Source organism: Homo sapiens, chromosome 4 (genome assembly GCF_000001405.40).
Source record: "Homo sapiens chromosome 4, GRCh38.p14 Primary Assembly".
Taxonomy (NCBI): domain Eukaryota; kingdom Metazoa; phylum Chordata; class Mammalia; order Primates; family Hominidae; genus Homo; species Homo sapiens.
In genome coordinates, this window is record NC_000004.12 from 105,155,353 (window position 1) to 105,176,191 (window position 20,839).

The 20,839-nt window shown below is 35.6% G+C and overlaps 2 protein-coding genes and 1 long non-coding RNA gene across 15 annotated transcripts in view, besides 1 other annotated feature; 1 reads left to right on the forward strand and 2 right to left on the reverse strand.

Annotated features, from left to right (window-relative positions):
- The window catches only part of LOC124900868 (uncharacterized), a 33,749-nt gene extending 18,091 nt beyond the window's left edge, over window positions 1-15,658 (reverse strand). The window contains exon 1 of the mRNA XM_047416559.1: window positions 15,595-15,658. Coding sequence (XP_047272515.1) covers window positions 15,595-15,658 — 64 coding nt within the window. The remainder of the gene's footprint in view (window positions 1-15,594) is intronic.
- The window catches only part of TET2 (tet methylcytosine dioxygenase 2), a 133,929-nt gene that overhangs the window by 9,478 nt on the left and 103,612 nt on the right, over window positions 1-20,839 (forward strand). Inside the window, exon 2 of one of the 13 annotated variants that reach the window (XM_024454102.2) lies at window positions 16,463-16,575. The exons of the other annotated variants lie outside the window; for them this stretch is intronic. The gene's annotated coding sequence lies outside the window, so the exon portion shown is untranslated. The remainder of the gene's footprint in view (window positions 1-16,462; window positions 16,576-20,839) is intronic. 13 annotated transcript variants of the gene reach the window in all.
- Window positions 6,694-7,402: an enhancer, noted in NCBI's record as "OCT4-NANOG hESC enhancer chr4:106083203-106083911 (GRCh37/hg19 assembly coordinates)". NCBI's record gives its function as "activates a minimal SCP1, AML or CMV promoter by ChIP-STARR-seq in naive H9 embryonic stem cells {active_cell/tissue: H9 hESC(naive)}" and the evidence as "EXISTENCE:reporter gene assay evidence [ECO:0000049][PMID:30033119]".
- The window catches only part of TET2-AS1 (TET2 antisense RNA 1), a 181,528-nt gene continuing 176,690 nt past the window's right edge, over window positions 16,002-20,839 (reverse strand). The window contains exons 4-6 of the long non-coding RNA NR_126420.1: window positions 17,064-17,226; window positions 16,235-16,379; window positions 16,002-16,048 (exon numbers count right to left, since the gene is read on the reverse strand). This is a non-coding gene — a long non-coding RNA (TET2 antisense RNA 1). The remainder of the gene's footprint in view (window positions 16,049-16,234; window positions 16,380-17,063; window positions 17,227-20,839) is intronic.

Sequence of the window (20,839 nt, forward strand, 5' to 3'; positions counted from 1 at the left end):
TTCATAATGCCAGGACAAAGTGAGAAACAGGGTCAGAATGATGATGGCTCTCCATCTTTGCTACACATGGCTGCAAGTATTTACAAATACCAGCAGAACTTCTACAAACCACTTACAGGTAAAATGAGTGCAGATTTTTAACACTAGTCCCTATGGAACTATGACTTGTAGTTTTGGACACACAGGGTGAATTACTTGGGGTTGATTGTATTTGAATTTCTAACCTTATGTAATTCTAGATACCAGACATTCTTGTTGTGCAATGCTTCTCTCCCTTTTTATTCTCATGAGAATGCTGGGTTGCAGCCGGTTGGATCCCATACCTTGGGACCATGACTGATAACTGGAGTGGAGAAAATTCACTGATCTGGAAAGGTTGAGCTTTAGGGTTCAGAGACTTATTTAAGGTACACATGTGATTGTACCCAATAAGGAAGTATATTGGCTTTATATAATTGTTATGATCACTTGTTCAATGAGTAACTATAGAATTTTACTTTTTAAGAGTATGATCATAGCATCTACTTGTAGGTTTGTTGAGTATGTTTGACAAGCCCAAGATAGATGCTCATGTTAGACCCATTAAGAAGTTGGTGTAGTGATGGTTATGGAAAGCAGTAAGATAGAATTTAGGTTCTGTTCTCCTTACTGGAGAAATGACTAGCTTACTTGTCTTCACTCTCTCTTGTTTCTCTCAAAACTTTGTGAACCACCTCAGCTGACTATAAATTTTTGTACTAGTATCTCCATAATTTTAAAAAAGTTGTTCACAAGTTTGAGTGTAGTACTTCATCTTTGCTTTTTAATGCACTTCCAAAAAATGTAAATCTGTTCTCGCATATTAGGAACATTTTGATTTGTTGTTTATTTTTAGCTTTGCTTTTTATAAGTAATTTATACAGAAGGTACACCATATTCAAAAGAAGAAAAATGGGCTGTGAATTTTTGCTGATGTACTACTCTCTTCAAAGGGAATTGCCTATGTTCAGGCATAGAAATGCAGGCAGTCTGACATTTAGGTATGCCATACAGAGTATTGATATTTTTAATTTGCTACTTTTAACATTTTGAGATTTGTCACAGTTTGTTCTGTGGGTGGGTAAAAGTAATGGTAATTTTAATTACAGTTGTCGTGCCTCATTAGCCATTGCTAAAACCTGCCTTACCAAATCACTTATTTTCTTGATGCAGTGTTAAATCTAGCTTCTATGTCCAGGTTATACATTAATGAGAACATTCACCCATCTCTCAAATGGGTTATTATAGTATTTTCTCCTGAAATAGATGATGCATAAAAAAAAGTAAAAAAGCTTCAATAGGGATAATGAAAGCCAGATAACATAGCATGGTATATGAGTTATTCCTCCCGTTTTTCTTACCTGTCTGCACTAAGAAGGGCACCCATTAAATACCATAATTATTAGTTGTGCTGCCTCTGAAGTAGAGCACCAGAATGTGAGAGTAATACAATGAGACCACACCCAGATTCTATCCATAACATACTGTCCTGGTCTTATTAATTTTTTTAACCTGTTTGTTCTTTTAGCACTTTTCCTGCTTTTGTTTGAAGTCTCTTGCTTTGAAGTTATAGAATTTTTATATTTGCCATTGGCTGTAAAGTTATCTCAGCTCTTTTATAACTTTTCATTATATTTGCATTAAAAGGATCACTTTGAGCACCCTGTAATTAATTCAGATGATTATTAGCTTTTTTGTTTGTTCTACTGTGCACTCTCCTATATACATTATAACAGAAGAAAAAACCATTTCTACAAATACAGTGTCTGATAGTTCATCAAATCAGAATGAGCATCTTAAAAAGTGAATTATTAAAATATTAATTCATTTACATTCCTATTTTAATGTACCAAATGTAACTGATGAAAAGAAGAATACCATAAATGGGTACCTTTCAAAAATGAAGGAAAAAAAAATCTCACAACTAAAGATTCTTACCATATAAATTATTTATTTTAGTAAATAATTATTTTAGTACAAACAGATACATTTTAGCAGGAAAAAACACACTTTAAACCTTGTTTTATAGATTTTATCTTTCTTCCAATCTAGCCACTGAAATGGTTTTTTCTCCAGTGAAGTTATATTATCTACATAAGTTGAATTTAAAACAAGGTTGTATTTTAATTTTGCAGTTGTCTGCCACATTACGCTTGTGGAAAAACACTGGCAGAAAGCAAAGCTAATAGACATTTTGCTGTTGGCTCACCTTATTAATGGCTAAGATTTAATTATGTATTTCTACTGAAAAGCAAACTTGAAAAAGACGTTTGGTTACTAACTGTGGGAACTAAAAATTTTTATTTATTTTTATTTTTTATTTTTTGGTAGAGTCTCACTCTCTTGCCCAGGCTGGAGTGCAGTGGCATGATCTTGGCTCACTGCAGCCTCCTCCTTCTGGGTTCAAGCGATTCTCCTGTCTCAGCCTCCCGAGTAGCTGGGATTATAGGCACCAGCCACCATGCCTGGCTAATTTTTGCATTTTTAGTAGAAACAGCGTTTCGCCATGTAGGCTAGGCTGGTCTCGAACTCCTGACCTCTAGTGATCCACCCCCTTCTGCTTCCTAAAGTGCTGGGATTACAGGCATGAGCCATCGGCCTGGCCAACTTATTTACTGTTACAACTTACTTACTTTGAAACAACTTATTTACTGTTAAAAAATGTGGTTCTTATTTCAAATAAGATTTTATGGACATCAACTAATTTTTTAAACATATATTGTAATTTTAAAACATTTTTACCAACATTTTTCAAGAGCATGGGAAATCTAGGGTATGGCATTTTAAAGTGACTTTAAAGACACTTCTTGGGTTTTGTTGAAGTCAGAATATTTTTAAAAATACAATGAGTTTAATTTACTACTGACAGATTTTCTTTAATTTTTTTTGCATTGTTATAATTAGTCATGCCTTAATCCTCGGGGTTTTTGGGAAACTATATTTAGGGGTTAAAAACTTAGTTATTGACATTGTAATTTTTCTCAGTATTGGTAAGAATTCAGGTGTTTAAGGAATGGAGTTTACTTGTTTTCTGTTCACAAACCCATTGTAAAAGATATAATGAATGTAGATGAAGGTGAAATCCGAGATAGGAAGAGAGGTAAAATGCTACTTTTTTTTCCTTCACCCAAGGAAAGCCATTGAATACTGAATGGGTCATGTTGTAATTTAATTGGGTGTAAATTATAACTTTGTAAATCATTTGCCTACTTAGTGTATATCTCTGGTTTTTATGTAATTCATCTCCCATAATATCTCAGTTTACACTGAAGTAAATAAGCAAGCAGGAATAAGTCCTGCAAATAGAGGAAGTAGAAAGTGCATTCAGAATGCATTGCTGAAATTGTAAAACTGATCCTAAATTGAATTAGGTAGAGCAGTTAATTTAGATTACAAGAAATGCAACAGGAAAAAAATATTACAGTTCTTCCTCTTTTTTGGAAAAAAAAAAAGAAAGAAAAGACAAATAAATCACCCTTAGTTAGTGATAATTCCTTGACATCTGTATGCTCATTTTTAGGGCCAAAAAATAGTAGGCTTCTCTTTGGAAATTGTAGACGCTTTCTCTCCTTCCAGTTACACGCGGTCACATCAACATTTGACACGTGGGTACCGTGCACGTGGCAGCAGTATTTACAAACACCATCCTAGGATTCCAGAGACTCTTATGTAACAGTGGAGAGAGTAAGCTTTGAGTGTCTGTGGGCGGAGGAATCAACACAGTTTAATTCATTGTCCGGGAGCCCTTGTCTGGCTCTGATAGGGTCATGAACCAAAGATCAAGGTGTTTAGGTCAGGATATTCCCTAACGCATGGTTTTCCTACCAAAGCCTCAAAAGCTGTGCCTAAATACAAGATTAATCTTTTTCTTTCTTTCTTTCTTTTTTTTTTTTTTTTTTGAGACGGAGTTTCGCTCTTGCTGCCAAGGTTGGAGTGCAGTGGCGCCGCGATCTCGGCTCACTGCAACCTCCGCCTCACCGGTTCAAGCGATTCTCCAGCCTCAGACACCCAAGTAGCTGGGATTATAGGCATGCGCCACCACGCCCGGCTAATTTTGTATTTTTAGTACAGACGGGGTTTCTCCATGTTGGTCAGCCTGGTGTTGAACTCCCGACTTAAGGTGATCCGCTTGCTTCGGCCCCCCAAAGTGCTGGGATTACAGGCTTGAGCCACCGCGCCCAGCTAAGATTAATCTTTTTATGCCCTGCAGCAAACAACTAGTCATGCCAAACCATTTTTGTGATTTGGGGAAACATGAGCAGATGATGCTTTGGATCTGATTATAATTCACAGTGCTCTTGTAATTTACGTGAGATTTGCATACCTGCCTCCCAGCCTCACAAAATGCCTTTAAAAAATTACATCTTGGCCAGGATGGCTCACGCCTGTAATCCCGGCATTTTGGGAGGCCAAGGCGGGTGGCAAGAGATCGAGATCATCCTGGCCAACACGGTGAAAACCCGTCTCTGCTAAAAATACAAAAATTAGCTGGGCGTGGTGGCGGGCGCCTGTAATCCCAGCTACTTGGGAGACTGTGGCAGGAGAATCGCTTGACCCCGGGAGGCGGAGGTTGCAGTGAGCCGAGATCGCGCCACTGCACTCCAGCCTGGCGACAGAACGAGACTCCGTCTCAGAAAAAAAAAAAATCTTGATATTTGTATGCATCTTAAAAAGCAAGAGAATTCATGATTGACTTCCCAAACTAAACGGTCTGACCAGAAAACACTCAAGAAAACTCTTGGTTAATCATGCTCCTTAGTATACCATTATACCTGCCTCTCCCCTTTCCCCATCCTCTGTAAATTCTCTCAACCTTCTCTCATTTTTAATTTCATACCAAGACCTAGAGCTAAAACAACAACAACAAAGCTTTAAGTCTCTATATTTAGGGAATGTGCCTCCTATCCCAAATTGATTTTTAGAGCTTTTCATTTATTTTTATCAATACAAAGCAAGTTGAAATAAAAAAAAAGGCATCAAAAATTTAAATGTCTAACCACGTATATTTGGTATATGTATACTGGTGCTATGTATTAGCTGTAAGCAGACTGGTTTGAATATTTAAAATATGAACAGAATTTGAGTTCTTTTTGTATTGCATCTAAGGATCATTTGAGATGGATGTCATCATTTATCATCCAAAATAGAAGCCTTCTTGCCTAACAAAGAATTGTAATTAGATCATCAAAGATGAAATTTATAGTAATTGAAAAGTTAGCTCATTTGACTGCTTCTTTCATAGACTGTGTTTTTGTAATTACACTACCTTTCTAAAGATAGGAAAAATCAGAGTCTCTGAAATGTAATACTATAAGTGAAATATGTATTTTTTAAAATAAAGGATCTTTTCCCAAGAGCTAAACCAAGCACCAAATCTGTTTTTTGGGGGTTTTTTGGTTTGTTGGTTTGTTTGTTTGTTTGTTTTTGACAGAGTCTCCCTCTGTCGCCCAGGCTGGAGTGAAGCGGAGCGATCTGGGCTCACCGCAACCTCCGCCTCCTGGGTTCCAGCAATTCTCTGCCTCAGGCTTCGGAGTAGCTGGGATTACAGGCACTCGCCACCACGCCCGGCTAATTTTTGTATTTTTAGTAGAGGCGGGGTTTTACCATCTTGGTCAGGCTGGTTTTGAACTCCTGACCTGGTGATCCACTCGCCTCAGCCTCCCAAAGTGCTGGGATTACAGGTGTTTTTCTTTAAGTAATACTTGGTATAAGAGAACTTTATATCTGGAATAATTTAAATATTATCTGACCGAATCTATTATTCACATATAGAAACTCAGGTTTTAGCCATTTAACATCTAAAGCTGTTCTCATTTAGAGGAAATTACCAAAAGAGTGACTTATTTAACTAACAATAAAATCTAAGGATAGATATTTTTTCATTCTGTTGCAGAGCAAAAGCAGCCTTCTGGATATGAAAAGATATTACTTCTTTAGTGTTTATTACTTATAATTTATTGTACATTTCTGATACACTGAATTAAGATGCGATGAGAGTAGGTTGTAGATTTTTAAAAGTTCTTATTTGCGTGATTTATCTACTTGCTTTTTTAGTGTCGGACTATAAATGATGTATTTCTCTCAATTATCCTCGGCCTAAATAGTAAAAGCTTGGGTGAAATTACTTATGAGTATACTTTTCCTGCACAGAGCAGAGCCATTACTGAACACTCTCGAGCTTTAACAAAAATCATCCTATCTTATATTAGAATATTAATATTTTCCCTCTTTCTCGGACCTTTGTTTCACAGTAAATCATATATGGATATAAGCTGCAAGTGCTCAGAATTTGATTAAGGCTATAAGTTAATTTCTACTAAAAAAGGGATTCAAATAGAACTTTCATTTGGCTGTACTGTAGTTTCACTTGAAGGGGCAAGCATGCAATAAACATTGACTTATTCAATGCATAGGCTGTCTTCATAAAGATGAGACTGAGTGACAGTTGTCTGTGTATTATAAAATATCAGAATGGTAGATTGAATCTGATGCATACCAAGGAGCAATGTGGAAATTTTAGGCTGTTCGTCTTTTTTCAGTTACTACTAAGTGTGTGTATGTGGTGTGTATGTGTTTTGAACTTTTCATATTTAAGCTGAATCCTCTTTGGTAGAAATGGTTAAATAGACTATAGTAAAAGTTTCTGTCTATAAATATAAAATGAAAAAATACTGATATCTTGCATTTTCCCTAATATGTTGAAAGTGCACAGAATCCTTGGGGTCTTTTGTATAAACTGTTTTTATATGGTTCCTGTAGAAGACAGCTGAGGCACCAAACACACACACAAAACAAACAGCTTGCTTGGTGATGATAACATTCGTGCAAGGGAGTTCTCTCTTGCATAGGAGTCCCAGGTTACCCTAATGCCTTCCCACATGGTCAAACACATGGAGCTTTCATATTTACACACAGCTCCAGAATTCTGAAGCCTGCAGTTGTTTATCAGTGGGATACAGGGAGAAAGAGTGGTGTCTATCTTACTAACTGTTTAATGACCTGGATCATGAATACTGATACAGAATAAGAAAGCACTGGCCTGACTGCAGGGGAAACATGGTAGATGCCTAAAGGAGGCTTTTCCCTGCCCCACACTGTTTATTTTAAACTATCATTATCACCTGAAAGGAGCTTTTCACTTTGAACTTAAAATAGTAGCTTTTAACCCTGACAAGCAAGTAGGCACTTTAGTATTCAAGAACTGAAGGTGACAAGCCCTGAGGAGTGTTACTCTCTTTCATAACCAAGCTGACTCAAACTCTTTTAGAAGCTAGTGTAGTAACTTAACCATCTCTAATAATGTTGCTGCATGCCTTCATAGAAACAGTTGGAGCAAGAGCTGCATTTTCTTTTTTTTAAGTGTTTATTATTTACATTTTATTTTTGAAAACATGCCATTCCTATTACATATAGAAATACTTCCCAAAATCACTGTTTGTATAGAACTATTTTGCTTAACATTAGGATTCTATTGAAGAGCCTATATCTGCAATAATACGGGGAGAAAATCCCCTTTTGTGTGATAGATTAATGATAAAGAGAAAGAAAAGGTGAGAAGTAATTTTGGGAAATATGCAATGATAAACTAGTGGTATTTATTGAACTAAACACCAGCAGCTGTGCTTAGCATGGATAATTGCCTAAAAGGATGAGAAAAAAAAGTAAAAATCAGGAGACTATAAATTTTTCAGTGAAGAATAAATTTTCTGTCACAAATTATGAACATTTTAAATATGTATTTTAAACTTTTTCCTACTTGTAACAAATTATCAGACTTTTTAATCTACCTTTTTTGAGCTTTTCATCTTTTTCCCTGAATTATAGATTTAATTCTGTGTATGTATGTGTGTGTTTGAATATATTTTTATATTTTAGATCTAGATTTGTAAACTAGAGCTGTTTCTAACTGCTTATAAGACATTGCCACCTGGATTGCCACCACTTTCACTCCAGTATTTCAATAAACACTTCATCAAAAACATAGTTTATTTTCAAACATAGAATCATGGATTGCTACAAGCTGAAAGGACTTTAGAGACTCAGTAACCCCATTCCTTGCATTTACAGATGAGAAAATGGAGGCATGGGAAAGTAAAGTCAGTTGCCTCAAATAGCGTAACAAGCTATGTATATTTCTAATAATAGCTACTATTGATTAAGTTCTTATGTTGGGTTAAGTACCATGCTAAGCACTTTCCAAAGATTATCTAATTCTTATGTCATCTATATTTTTGTTGGTGCTATTACTCTCCTCACTTTACTAAGGAAGAAACCAAGACATGGGGTTAAATAACTTCCCTATAAATTTTGAATTATCTTTGGCATCATCTCCCTATTTGCAAATCTCCATTGTCTCTTTGTTCGTAATCAATGTAAATCAACTCTTAAACAGTTGGATGCCAACAAGCAGTCTGGTGTTTGGAGCTCGAAAGTTTCGAGAGAGAGAGAGAGAGAGAGAGAGAGAGAGAGAGAGAGAGAGAGAGAGTGTGTGTGTGTGTGTGTGTGTGTGTGTGTGTGTTCCAGCTTTGTTGAGGTATAATTGACAAGTAAACAGTCCACAAAACTGTACACATTTAAGAGATACAGTGTGATGTTTTAATATACATTGTGAAGTGATTATTACTATCAGGCTAATTCACATGTCCATCACCTCTCAGTCATTTTTTGTGTTTACGGTGAGAACACTTAAGAGCTACTCAAATGTAGTCAAGGATACCATACAGTACTAACTGTAGTCACCATGCTGTACATTAGATCTCCAGAATGTATTAAATATTCATCTGGCATAACTGAAACTGTGTATCCTTTGACAAACCTATTTCCCCTACTACCCAGCCCATGGCAACCACCATGTTACTCTCTGCGTTTATGAGTTCGACTTCTTTAGATTCCACATATAAGTGAGATCATGCAATAGGAAGATCTAATTTAGCATCCTGACTTTCCTTTTTATTAGCTGTGTATGTCATATTCAGGTTGCCTTAGCATTTGTGAATCTGCTTCTCTACCTGTAAAATGAGAACAACTAATAATTCTTATCTCATGGATTACTGAGAGGATCAGATGAAGTAACATAAATAAAACATCCAGCATGTTACTTGGCAAAATTGTAGTGATTGAATAAATATTTGTTTATTCTTCAAGCATGTGTTGAGCATCTATGTATCAGGCAAGAAGAGAGCCATCATCTTTACCCTTCTGGAATATACAGGCTCATAGGAAATAATCAATGCTTTGATCTTTTTTTAAAGCATAATGAGATGAAAATTATAGGACTCATAGACTGGTCAGTTGAGGAATTTCCCAGGATGCTTCCAGCCTCTGCTCAAAAGGTGTGAATTCCCAGTTGCCTGAATAGGCGCCAGAGTTGGCATAGCTTTCTCAGTATTGGGACCTGACAGGGAGATTGCACAAGTGTAACAGCACAGCCTCTGAAGATTGGCTCAAGGGGGAAGAGATGAAGGATTACTTCCATCCCTTTTATTGTTTCAATCAAGATATATATTATGAGCTCATAGTACCATCCTTTCATGATCATCCTTTATTGTCTTTATTAGATACAATGAAAAGATACAAATTTGTCCATAGAAATATTAAATGATAGCAGGCATGATTTAAAAAGTACTAAGGACTATAGATATTACTGTTTTTCCTCTATTTTGTATCATATTTTCAGGAAGAAGAGACAACATTTTGGCATACCTTGCTTAAAGATAGATGATAGCCGGGTGTGGTGGCTCAGACCTGTAATTCCAGCACTTTGGGAGGCCGAGGCGGGCAGATCACCTGAGGTCAGGAGTTTGAAACCAACCTGGCCAACGTAGAGAAACCCCGTCTGTACCAAAAAATACAAAAATTAGCCAGGCGTGGTGGTGGGCGCCTGTAATTCCAGCCACTCAGGAGACTGAGGCACGAGAATCACTTGAACCCAGGAGGCAGAGGTTGCAGTGAGCTGAGATCGTGCCATTGCACTCCAGCCTGGGTGACAGAGGGAGACTTCGTCTCCCAAAAAATAAAAATAAAAAATAATTGTCTTGGTGTGCTAATCAGGAGCTTCCTGTGAGAGTGGAAATTCCTTACATGGCAGTGTCATGAAATTTTAGGCCCATGTGAAAGATGTTTTTGAGTGTCTCAAAATAGTTAACGGTTTAAAAATACATTATTTATGTGTCAGAAACTGCTTTCATTGAAATTGAAGTTTCTTTGAGAACTAGGATCATATCATGTATATCTATTGAATTTCCCACAACAATTATCACGCAAGCAAATGAATAGCAGACCCTCAATAACACTTACTGATGATTATTGCCATGTATAAGTTGGGATACTCTTGAGTACCTTTCTAAGTCTGCATTTAGGGAAATACAGAACACAAAATGAAATGTTTGATTGGTTGCTTAGTTTCCACAGTGACTTTTCAAAATGTATAGGAGCATGGTAACAAAACTATTTTAAATACTACAATCTTAAGTATGCCTTTATTATTCTTACCCACAATAATGCATTGCTTTAAAAAATTGTTTATCAGTGTCAGACCATACCTTTCTGAGTCTCTACTATGTAAGATGTGAAAGTTAATATTCTTCAATTCCAGCTACTTTTCTTTTCCTGCCTTCTGTCAACTCCTGTATTCCATATCATTACTTCTTATTGCTAAATTTATAATATTTATATTCTGGTTTGCATCTATAGTTAATTCTCTTGTGCTTCATTTCTCAGTGCTAATTGAAAAAGAAAACACATCACTTACAATGCCATGATTGTAATAAATAAAATTCACTGTAACACCTAGCAGTATGGTTGAACATGTAGAAAAGGAAAAAGTGATCCTGTGACACTAAAATTTAGCTTGTTCTAAGGATGCTACTTTAAGCATTAGGGTAAAATGGATTCCCTTTTGCTAAATTCTTTCAGTTCCTCAAAATTATGCCACATTTTTGTTTCTTTCACATTTGGACTTAGATTTTCCTGTAAGCATTCAATTTTTCTTGAAAATTTTAATTGCATTTTTTTATTCTTGTTGACAGAAGAAACATTTTCATCATATCACAATTTTTTTTCAGATTTCTTAATTATACCATTTGATGAATGAAATACACTTTCTTCTTGAAGTCTGATTTTTCTGTTCTAATTTAGAGTTTCTTCTCATTTTTCTCCTGGCTATGTCTATTATTGCTTTAGTCTCATGTCTTTGTATTTGATTATTATTTTTCTTTTTACTACTGTTTTTCTTCTTACAGAAAAAAAAAGAAAAAAAAACAGGGGTTTTTACAAATATTGTGCTGAGTCTTTACATGTCCAAAATGCCTTATATTTTTCCTTATAGTACATTCATAAATTATTGTGATTAGAACCATAAATTCAAAGTAATTTTCTCTCAGAGCTTGGGAAACATTGGTACGTTGTTACCCTTCATCTAGGATTGCTTATGAGATAGATATCTGATGCCAGTCTGATTCTGTCTTTTTTAGATAACTTTTTTCCCTATTCATATGTTTATTAGGATCTTTATCTTTTCACTTCTGAAATTCCTCCAGATATGGCTCTGTTAAAATGTATTCTTCTCAGCACTTGATGATTCTGTACAATCTGGAAACAACTGCCTTTATTTAGCTTAAGGTACTTTTCTTCCATTGTACCTTTGATTATTTCTTCCTTCTTTTTTTCACCCTATCTTTATGAAACTCATGTTAATGGTGCATTAGAACTTGTGAACTGATTTTTCTTATTTATTAAATTCCATCACATATTTTTCATCTGTTTATCTCTGTATATTTTATTTTCTCAACTTTTGATATTTTTGTTAATTGAAATTTAATTTCCAAGAAGTCCATTTTCTATTCTCTGATTGATTCTTTTTAATGGTAGCCTATTTCGTGGCTCAAATCATATAAAATGTATTAAATTTTGTGGGAAAATTAGGCAAACAAAGAAAATTAAATTTTACCTAACTATATCTAAAAACAATACAACTAAACTTAAGAAAAGTGCGTATATGTGTACACATATACATATGCGTGTATATGTGTACACATATGCTACATATACATGTATATGTAGTATATGTACATGTAGTATATGTGTGTATGTATGTATATACACATGTAGTATATCTATATACATGTATATGTACAAAGAAAAAATATGTATATAATAGTTTCACTGTACTTTATTTGCTCCCCTTTTAAAAATAACAGTGCTAGAGTTCATGACTGACTAATTTTCAGAACTTGGTGTGTATGGTTGTTTATTAAGCCCTCAATAATAATGCTTTAGTATTACAGTGCCCAGGCATAGTCAGTGACTGTGCTAATAGTCCTAGCAGTAGCAGTTCATCCTGTACAGATCTAAGGTGTAACTATTTTCATTTCTGGGCCCTTGGAGATTCTTTGGTTGTCTTCATATCTTTTACCTATCTTGCTGTTCAATAACAGGTAATAGAAAAGGAGATAAAACTTAAATGTCATCATTTCCCACTGCTTAACAGTCTTTAAAAATAAATGTGAAACCCGTAAGGACGTAATCTTGCCTAGCTTTAAGGAATGAAGGAAACACTAGAAACAACAGAGAGAAAAGGAATAACTGATCCTCCAACATGTTCTGTTGACTCTACCTGTAAAGTATATTCAGGATCTGACTACTTCACACCATTTCACCAATTTCCATCTCCATTCAAACCACCTTCATGTGTTACTTTGAAAAGTGCAGTTTCCCTGTCATGGGTTTCCCTGTTTCTAGCTTTGCTCCCCCTTCTTACCTCACCGTGGGTTTTTACCCAAACAAAAATTCAAGTGATCATTTAAAAATTAAGTCAGGTCATGCCTCTCCTCTGCTTAAAACCATTAATGGGTCTCTGTTTCACTCAGAATATAAGCCAAAGCCCTTTTCATGACCCACCAGTCCTCAAGTGAATTGGCTGCTATTTGTGTTTCTGATTCCATTTCTTGCCACTATTCTCCCTCATTCTATTCTAATTTCCTTGGTTTTCTTGCTGTCCTGGCAACAAGAAGAGCATCCTTTTTCCTCCAGGCCTTTGCACTTGCTGTTCCCTCTTCCTGGAGCACCCTTCCTTCAGAGAGCCACAGGTATTGTTTCTATCTTTCCTTCTAATCTCTCCTTGAGTGTTACTTTTTCAGAGATAAATTCCCTAACCATTCTATCTAACAGAACTCTGACTATTGACCTTGCTTTATTTTCTCTCTTTTTTTTTAAAATTTTATTTTTTTATTCCCATAGGTTATTGGGGAACAGGTGGTATTTGGTTACATGGGTAAGTTCTTTAGTGGTGATTTGTGAGATCTTGGTGCACCTATCACCCGAGCAGTATACACTTCACCCTATTCGTAGTCTTTTATTCCTCACCCCCTTCCCACCCTTTTCCCCTGAGTCCCTAGAGTCCATTGTGTCATTCTTATGCCTTTGCATCCTCATAGCGTAGCTCCCACTTATGAGTGAGAACATATGATGTTTGGTTTTCCATCCCTGAGTTACTTCACTTAGAATAATAGTCTCCAGTCTTATCCAGGTCACTGCAAATGCCATTAATTCATTCCTTTTTATGGCTGAGTAGTATTCCATCTTATAAATATACCACAGTTTCTTTAACTACTCACCGATTGACGAGCATTTGGGTTGGTTCCACATTTTTGCAATTGCAAATTGTGCTGCTATAAATGTGTGTGCAAGTATCTTTTTCATATAATGACTTTTTTCCTCTGGGTAGATACCCAGTAGTGGGATTGCTGGATCAAATGGTAGTTGTACTTTTAGTTATTTAAGGAATCTCCACACTGTTTTCCATAGTGGCTGTACTAGTTTACATTCCCACCAGCAGTGTAGAAGTGTTCTCTGTTCACCATATCCATGCCAACGTCTACTATTTTTTGATTTTTTATTGCCGTTCTTGCAGGAGTAAAGTATTGCATTGTGGTTTTGATTTGCATTTCCCTGATCATTAGTGATATTGAACATTTTCTCATATGTTTGTTGGTCATTTGTATATCTTCTTTTTAAAATTGTCTATTCATGTCCTTAGCCCACTTTTTGATAGGATTGTTTGTTTTTTTCCTTGCTAATTTGTTGGAGTTCCTTGTAGATTCTAGATATTAGTCCTTTGCCGGATGCATAGATTGTGAAGATTTTCTCCCACTCTGTGGGTTGTCTGTTTACGCTGCTGACTGTTCCTATTGCTGTGCAGAGGCTCTTTTGTTTAATTAAGTCTCACCTATTTATCTTTGTTTTTGTTGCATTTGCTTTTGGGTTCTTGGTCATGAAGTCTTTACCTAAGCCAATGTCTAGAAGGGTTTTTCTGATGTTATCTTCTAGAATTTTTATAGTTTCAGCACGTAGATTTAAGTTTTTGATCCATCTTGAGTTGATTTTTATATAAGGTGAGAGATGAGGATCTAGTTTCATTCTTCTATATGTGGCTTACCAGCTATCCCAGCACCATTTGTTGAATAGGGTGTCCTTTACCTACTAATTTATGTTTTTGTTTGCTTTGTCAAAGGTCAGTTGGCTGTAAGTATGTGGGTTTCTTTCTTGGTTCTCTATCCCCCCATTGGTCTCTGTACCTATTTTTATACCAGTACCATGCTGTTTTGGTGTCTATGGCCTTCTAGTATAAAGTCAGGTAATGTGATTCTGCCCAATTTGTTCTTTGTGCTTAGTTTTGCTTTGGCTCTGTGGGTTCTTTTTTGTTTTCATATGAATTTTAAAATTGTTTTTCCTAATTCTGTGAAGAATGATGGTGGTATTTTGATGGGAATTGCATAGTTTATCAACCCTTGGCAAAGTGTTTCTGCTTTTCTTAAACAATTTTTATTGTCTGCTTTCTCCAGTAGATGTGAGTTCTATGAGATGAGGAACATTGTTTGGGTCACTGACATGTATTGTCAGCATACCAAACAGTGGCTAGCACATGGTGAGCACTCAATAAATATTTGGTGAAAGTTGCAGTGAATGAAAATGGTTTCTAAAATGGCAATGACTATAGTCCCAGCTACTCTGAAGGCTGAGGCAGGAAGATTGCCTGAGTCTCAAAAGTTTGGGGTTGTAGTGCACTATGATTGTGCCTGTGAATAGCTGCTGCATTGTAGCCTGGTCAACACAGTGAGAACCCATCTCTTTAAAAAAATGGCAATGAAATAATCTTATTTTTACTGCTTTTCTCTTTAAGGCTGCCAGTGTTGTCTTTTCTCTGCTGATTTATCCTCATTGGAAATTGAAGATAGATAAAATATCCATTGATTATTTATAGGTGAAATTAGGCTTTTGGATCCATGAGGAATAGCTGAGACAATCTTCCAGGAGCTTCTGGAGCCGAGGAAACATTGGTCACTAAAATACCATTTATATTGGCAACTGTACTCTTTTCCGATGCTAGTGTTTCAATTACATTGTGCATTTAAAAGGCTGTTGCGGCTACCTCAAAATATAAACATGATGTGCGACACTACTTGTTAGTTTTGAACAACTGATTTATAAATAGACTTAGGGTGCTCAAGCCTCCTGCAAGATGAGCACTGCCTGTGTTCTTCCTTCTGCTTCCTTTATTTCAGCTGTGTGTCTACCAACTTCCTCCTCCTTCTACACTAGGAGAAATTGCACTGTTTCCAATATCTTTAACATCTGCTATCATGATGAGAAAATATCTTTTCTGGATTTGAAATACCTTCTTCATTCTTTTTTTTTAAATGGCGGAAATAAATTCATAGTGTTTTGAGTGCAGTTTTCTTCCTGCTGTTATTGCTGGCTCAAAATCCAGGAGCATTTCAGTGTTATTTCTGAGCTCCATGATGGGAGTTCCATTTCTGTTTTATTCAAAGTGTTATCTCCAGTGTCTAGCACAGTGCCTGGCACATTATAAGCCTATAATGTTTATCTAGTGGATGTAGACCAATACTATTAAAGAATTATCATTGCAAAGATTTAGTGGCATGAAAAAATGATAATGATTAATGCTCTACTCCATGCTAAGGAAATGAAGTGCAAATCGTTCTTTATTTTTCTTCCAAGTATAGAGAACTTTCTGAAATTAAAGAAGCATTGATTAATAAGTTTTAATATATGTTATTGATCATAATAATATGTAATCATATAACCAAATAAGATAACACAGGCCATCTTTTGTTCTTTAAAAAATGACAGGAAGATTAGAATAAGAGAAAAAATTAGAGGTCAAAACAGTTTTCTTCAAACCAGTAGTGTAACTTACTGAGATATCTTCTGTAATCCTTAAATTCTGTATTGATGCTACCAAGATGCAACTCTTGAGCTACAACTGCCTCTTGATAAAGGATGCTGGTCCCTGCTGCCAGTGTAATGTTTGCTCATTTACAGTGGAATGTACAATATAGTACCTGGGATGGTGAAGAAGGTGAAGCAACAAATTTAAAATAGCTGTGGGTAAACCTACAGAAACAGACTATTCTCTTTCTTCCAGATTGCATTATTCATTTTCATATGCCTGCCTTTATCTGCTTTGGAAGCCTATTTCCTAATCTTCCAAGATTTATCATCACCTTCATATGTCCATAGCATGCATTTCTCAGACAGGTAAGATAGAATTGGTATATATTTGGTATAGCAAAAAGTCAAGGTTGTCTTTAGATTATATCCTTGGTTTTTCATGTGGTACTGGGGAGAAAGCCTACTGTTTCTTCATCTATAAAATGAAGGACCTGGGCAAGATAACATTCTGTGAAATTTCACTGAACTTTGAGCTCAGCAAAGTAGGGATGCGTGTGTGTGTGTCTATTTGCAATGCATCACAGACCTTAAATAAATACAGTTGACCCTTGAATAACATGGAGGTTAAGAGCACCAACCCCCTGCACTGTCAAAAATCCACATGTAATTTTTGACTCCCCAAAAACTTAACTACTAATAGCCTGCTGTTGTCTGGAGGCCCTGCTGATAACACACACAGTTGACTAACACATATTTTCTATGATATGTATTGTGTACTATATTCTTACAATAAACTAAGCTAGAGAAAAGAAACTGTTATTAAGAAAATCGTAAGGTAAAGAAAATATATTTACTATTTATTAAATGGAAGTAGATCATCATAAAGATCTTCATCCTTTGTTGTCTTCACCTTGAGTATGCTGAAGAAGAGGAGGAAAAGGATGGGTTGGTCTTGCTGTTCCAGGGGTGGCAGAAGTGGAAGAAAATTCACATATAAGCAGTCCATGCAGTTCAAACCTGTATTTTAAGGTCAACGGTATTTGTTACATTGCATTTTGTAAGTGACCTTGTTAATTTTTTTCAATGAAAAAAATAGTGTTCCATTCAAATGCCTGTATGTTTATGAGAAACATTTCAGAACTATGAAAGTTGAATTCAAGGTTTCTTGCAGATTGTTTGTATACTTTCTGTAATGTTTGTCATATAATGAGAATACTAATGGTCTTACAACTTGAAACTGATTAACTGATTAACTCTTTAAGCAACTTAAAAAGAAAATCTTTCAGTGAGGAAAGAGTATTCATCAGAAGTATTCTAGTAGATGACATATTTTTGGTAATGAAATTGATATGGGCAATTAACAGCTTTTTCCAAGTTGGCTATGCTGCTACTCTCTTATTATACAATGATACTATTTTTCAGAGCAGAAAGCAAATTAGTTTTATTTTTATAAACCAAATTTTAAATATCCCTTTAGAGAATAGAAAATATGAAAAAGTATTTGCTTCTCAGACCTCTCAACAATATAAATTTTCTTCTTAAGAGGAAATTTATTCTTGCATGCCAACACAAAGGATAAAAAGTTTACCTATCCTTAGTTTCTAAGAGGAAAATGTGCATAAAATTTCCATCTGCTGTGTGCCAGTTACCAAAACGATAAGTTCCAACTCAATCTTGGTTGGGTGTGGTGGCTCACGCCTGTGATCCCGGCACTTTGGGAGGCCGAGGTGGGCAGATCACGAGCTCAGGAGTTTGAGACCAGCCTGGCCAATATGGTGAAAACCCGTCTCTACTAAAAATACAAAAAAAAAAAAAAACAAAACTAGCCCGGCATGGTGGTGTGCTCCCGTAGTCCCAGCTACTTGGGAGGCTGAGGCAGGAGAATCGATTGAACCCAGGAGGTGGAGGTTGCAGTGAGCCAAGATTGCACCACTGCACTCCAGCCTGGGCAAAAGAGGGAGACTCTCTCTCAAACAAACAAAAAAGACTCAATCTTACTAAAAAACTGCAGAGAAGAATGAGTCATTTTAGTCAATAAAGGAAATAAAGAAATTCTAGTTTTGAAAATGACATAATTTGCTACAAGAATGCAAAGGTGATGACATGAGGAAAAAAGGGGTTTGCTGATTTGTTTTCTCTACTACTCAGCAAATGCAGGCCAGGAACCCATTTATTCAAATATTTATTACATGGTAAATTAAAACATTTATAAAATTAGGCTCATATTCTTAGAATTCCTGTTAACAAAGTGACATATAAACAAGATTATAATCTAATGGAGATTAATATTGGTTGAGAAAAATCTTGAGACTTCTTTAAGACTTCAGTTTAATAAAATATTGACTTAGGTAGATATATGTGAGGAAATATATATTTTACCCATGCATGCAAAAATGATGTATGTATTTCTTAAAAGAGTAGGTAGCAATGACTTCAAAGGACCATAGCTGTCCCTATCAACATATATATTAACAAAACAATTAGAAACATGAGCTTAGTATGCTAATTATATTTCTACCCAAAGCCTCAATTTGTTCTATAGCTATACTGTTCATATATAAGTAAAATTTTAGGGGTATCAGAGAGAGTTAGAAAAGAGCAAATACATGTATGAATTTGATAAGCCTATCCCTTAATTTGATAGATCTTAAAAGATATTTTATCACTGCATTCTTCTAAAGAAATGTATTTGTACATTGCAAAACAACCCTTTTTGAGAAGTAGACTATGATCACAGATTTTCTTGCCACTAGTATTTCCTAAGATTTATTTGGAATAGAAGATCGATATTTTTCTGGGATGACATATGGTTAAAAAGTAAAAAACAAAACAAAACAAAAAACTCTTTAAAAACACAACAAGTAAAAAGCTGAATGAATTGGAAAATTAACGAATCTTCTTAGATCTGTCAGAAAAATGAGATTATAGGGCAAACCACTGCATCAAATATTAGAGAAGCAGACAGGTAGATAGAAAGAATCACAACTTAGTGGGGCAAAAACCTACAAGGAAAATTTTTGTGGGAACCGGTGCCAGGTAGGAAAACATGAACTGTAATTGAAAAATTGTTCAGTGTGGGCGGTTGTTCAGTGTGGCAAGTCTGAGGGTTAAAAACTCCAGGAGGACTCACTTACGGAAGGGCCTGTACTTTTGTGAGTTTAACCTCCAGGAGTGTTCACAGTGACTACTGGAGAAAATTCCCTAAGGGGAGAAGAAAAGGAACCATCTTGAAATATGTCAGAGCATTTTGTTGGACTCAAGCCTGCTCTCAAGTGAAACTATTTTACCAGAGCCTAAACTTTTGGGATTTTATAAGAGTGTAACCTCCCAAAGGGAAGGGAAATACCTAAGTTCAGCCCCCTTTTAGCTTTCCACATAGGGAAAGGAAAATATATAACTCTGGACAACTCAAACCATCCTGTCCACGTTAGGGGGCCTAGGGGAACTGAGAAAACTGGTGAAGTTCATAGTCCATGGGTACAGTTTCACCAAAGAGGGAGACCAAATTATAAGGCTACAGAATGCTTCCCTTTCCCACACCTTTTACTATCATATTACTAAAAGCCTATTTGCAGCAGTTTCTTTTACTGAGTATATCATGTCTGTCATTCAACCAAAAAATTATAAGGCATGCTAAAAGGCAGGAAATGCAGTTTGAAGACACTGAATAAGCATCAGAAGCAGAGTCAAATATGGCAGTGACATTGGAATTATCAGACCAGAAACTTTATAAAAAACTATGGTTAATATGGTGAGGGATTAAAAAAATGACATACAAGAACAGATGGATAATGTAAATATAGAGACGGAAATTTTAGGAAAGAACCAAAGAGAAATGCCAAGTATCAAGCATAGTGTACAGAAATGATTAAAATGTCTTTGATAGGCTCATAAGTAGATTGAACATAGCCGAGGAAAAAATCTTTGAAGTTAAGGATATGATAATAGGAACTTCAAAACTAAAATGCAAAGAGAAAAAAGACTGTGAAAAAAACAGAAGAGATTATTCAAGAACTGCAGGAGAACTACAAAAGGTATAATGTACGTGCAATGGGCATACTAGAAAAAGAAAGAAAGGATTAGATGCAATATTTGAAGAAATAGTGTGTGAAAATCTCCCCCAATTAATGTCAGACACCAAACTACTTCTCCAGAGAGCTCAAAGAACACCAAGCAGGATAAATGTCCCAAAACTACTCATGGGCATATTATATTCAAACTTCAGAAAATCAAAGATTAAAAAAATATCGAAAGAATCCAGAAGGAAAAAACACCTATAGAGGAGCAAAAATAATAAATTTTATCTGACATATCCTCATAAACCATACAAATAAGAGAGTAGAGTGAGACATTTAAGATGTTGAAAGAAAAATCCGGCAGTGTACGATTCTGGACCTTGCAAAATTGTCCTTCAGAAGTTAAGAAATAAAGTCTGTCTTAAAGAAACAAAAATTTCAGGAATTTGTTGCCAGTGGACCACCCTTGCAAAAAATGTTTAAAGTTCTTTAGAGAGAGGTAAAATGATACAGGTTAGAAACTCAGATCCACATAAGGAAAATAAAATTAGGGATATAGTAGTATTCCCCAACTTGATAAAGAAAATACACAAAAAACCTACAGTTTACATCAT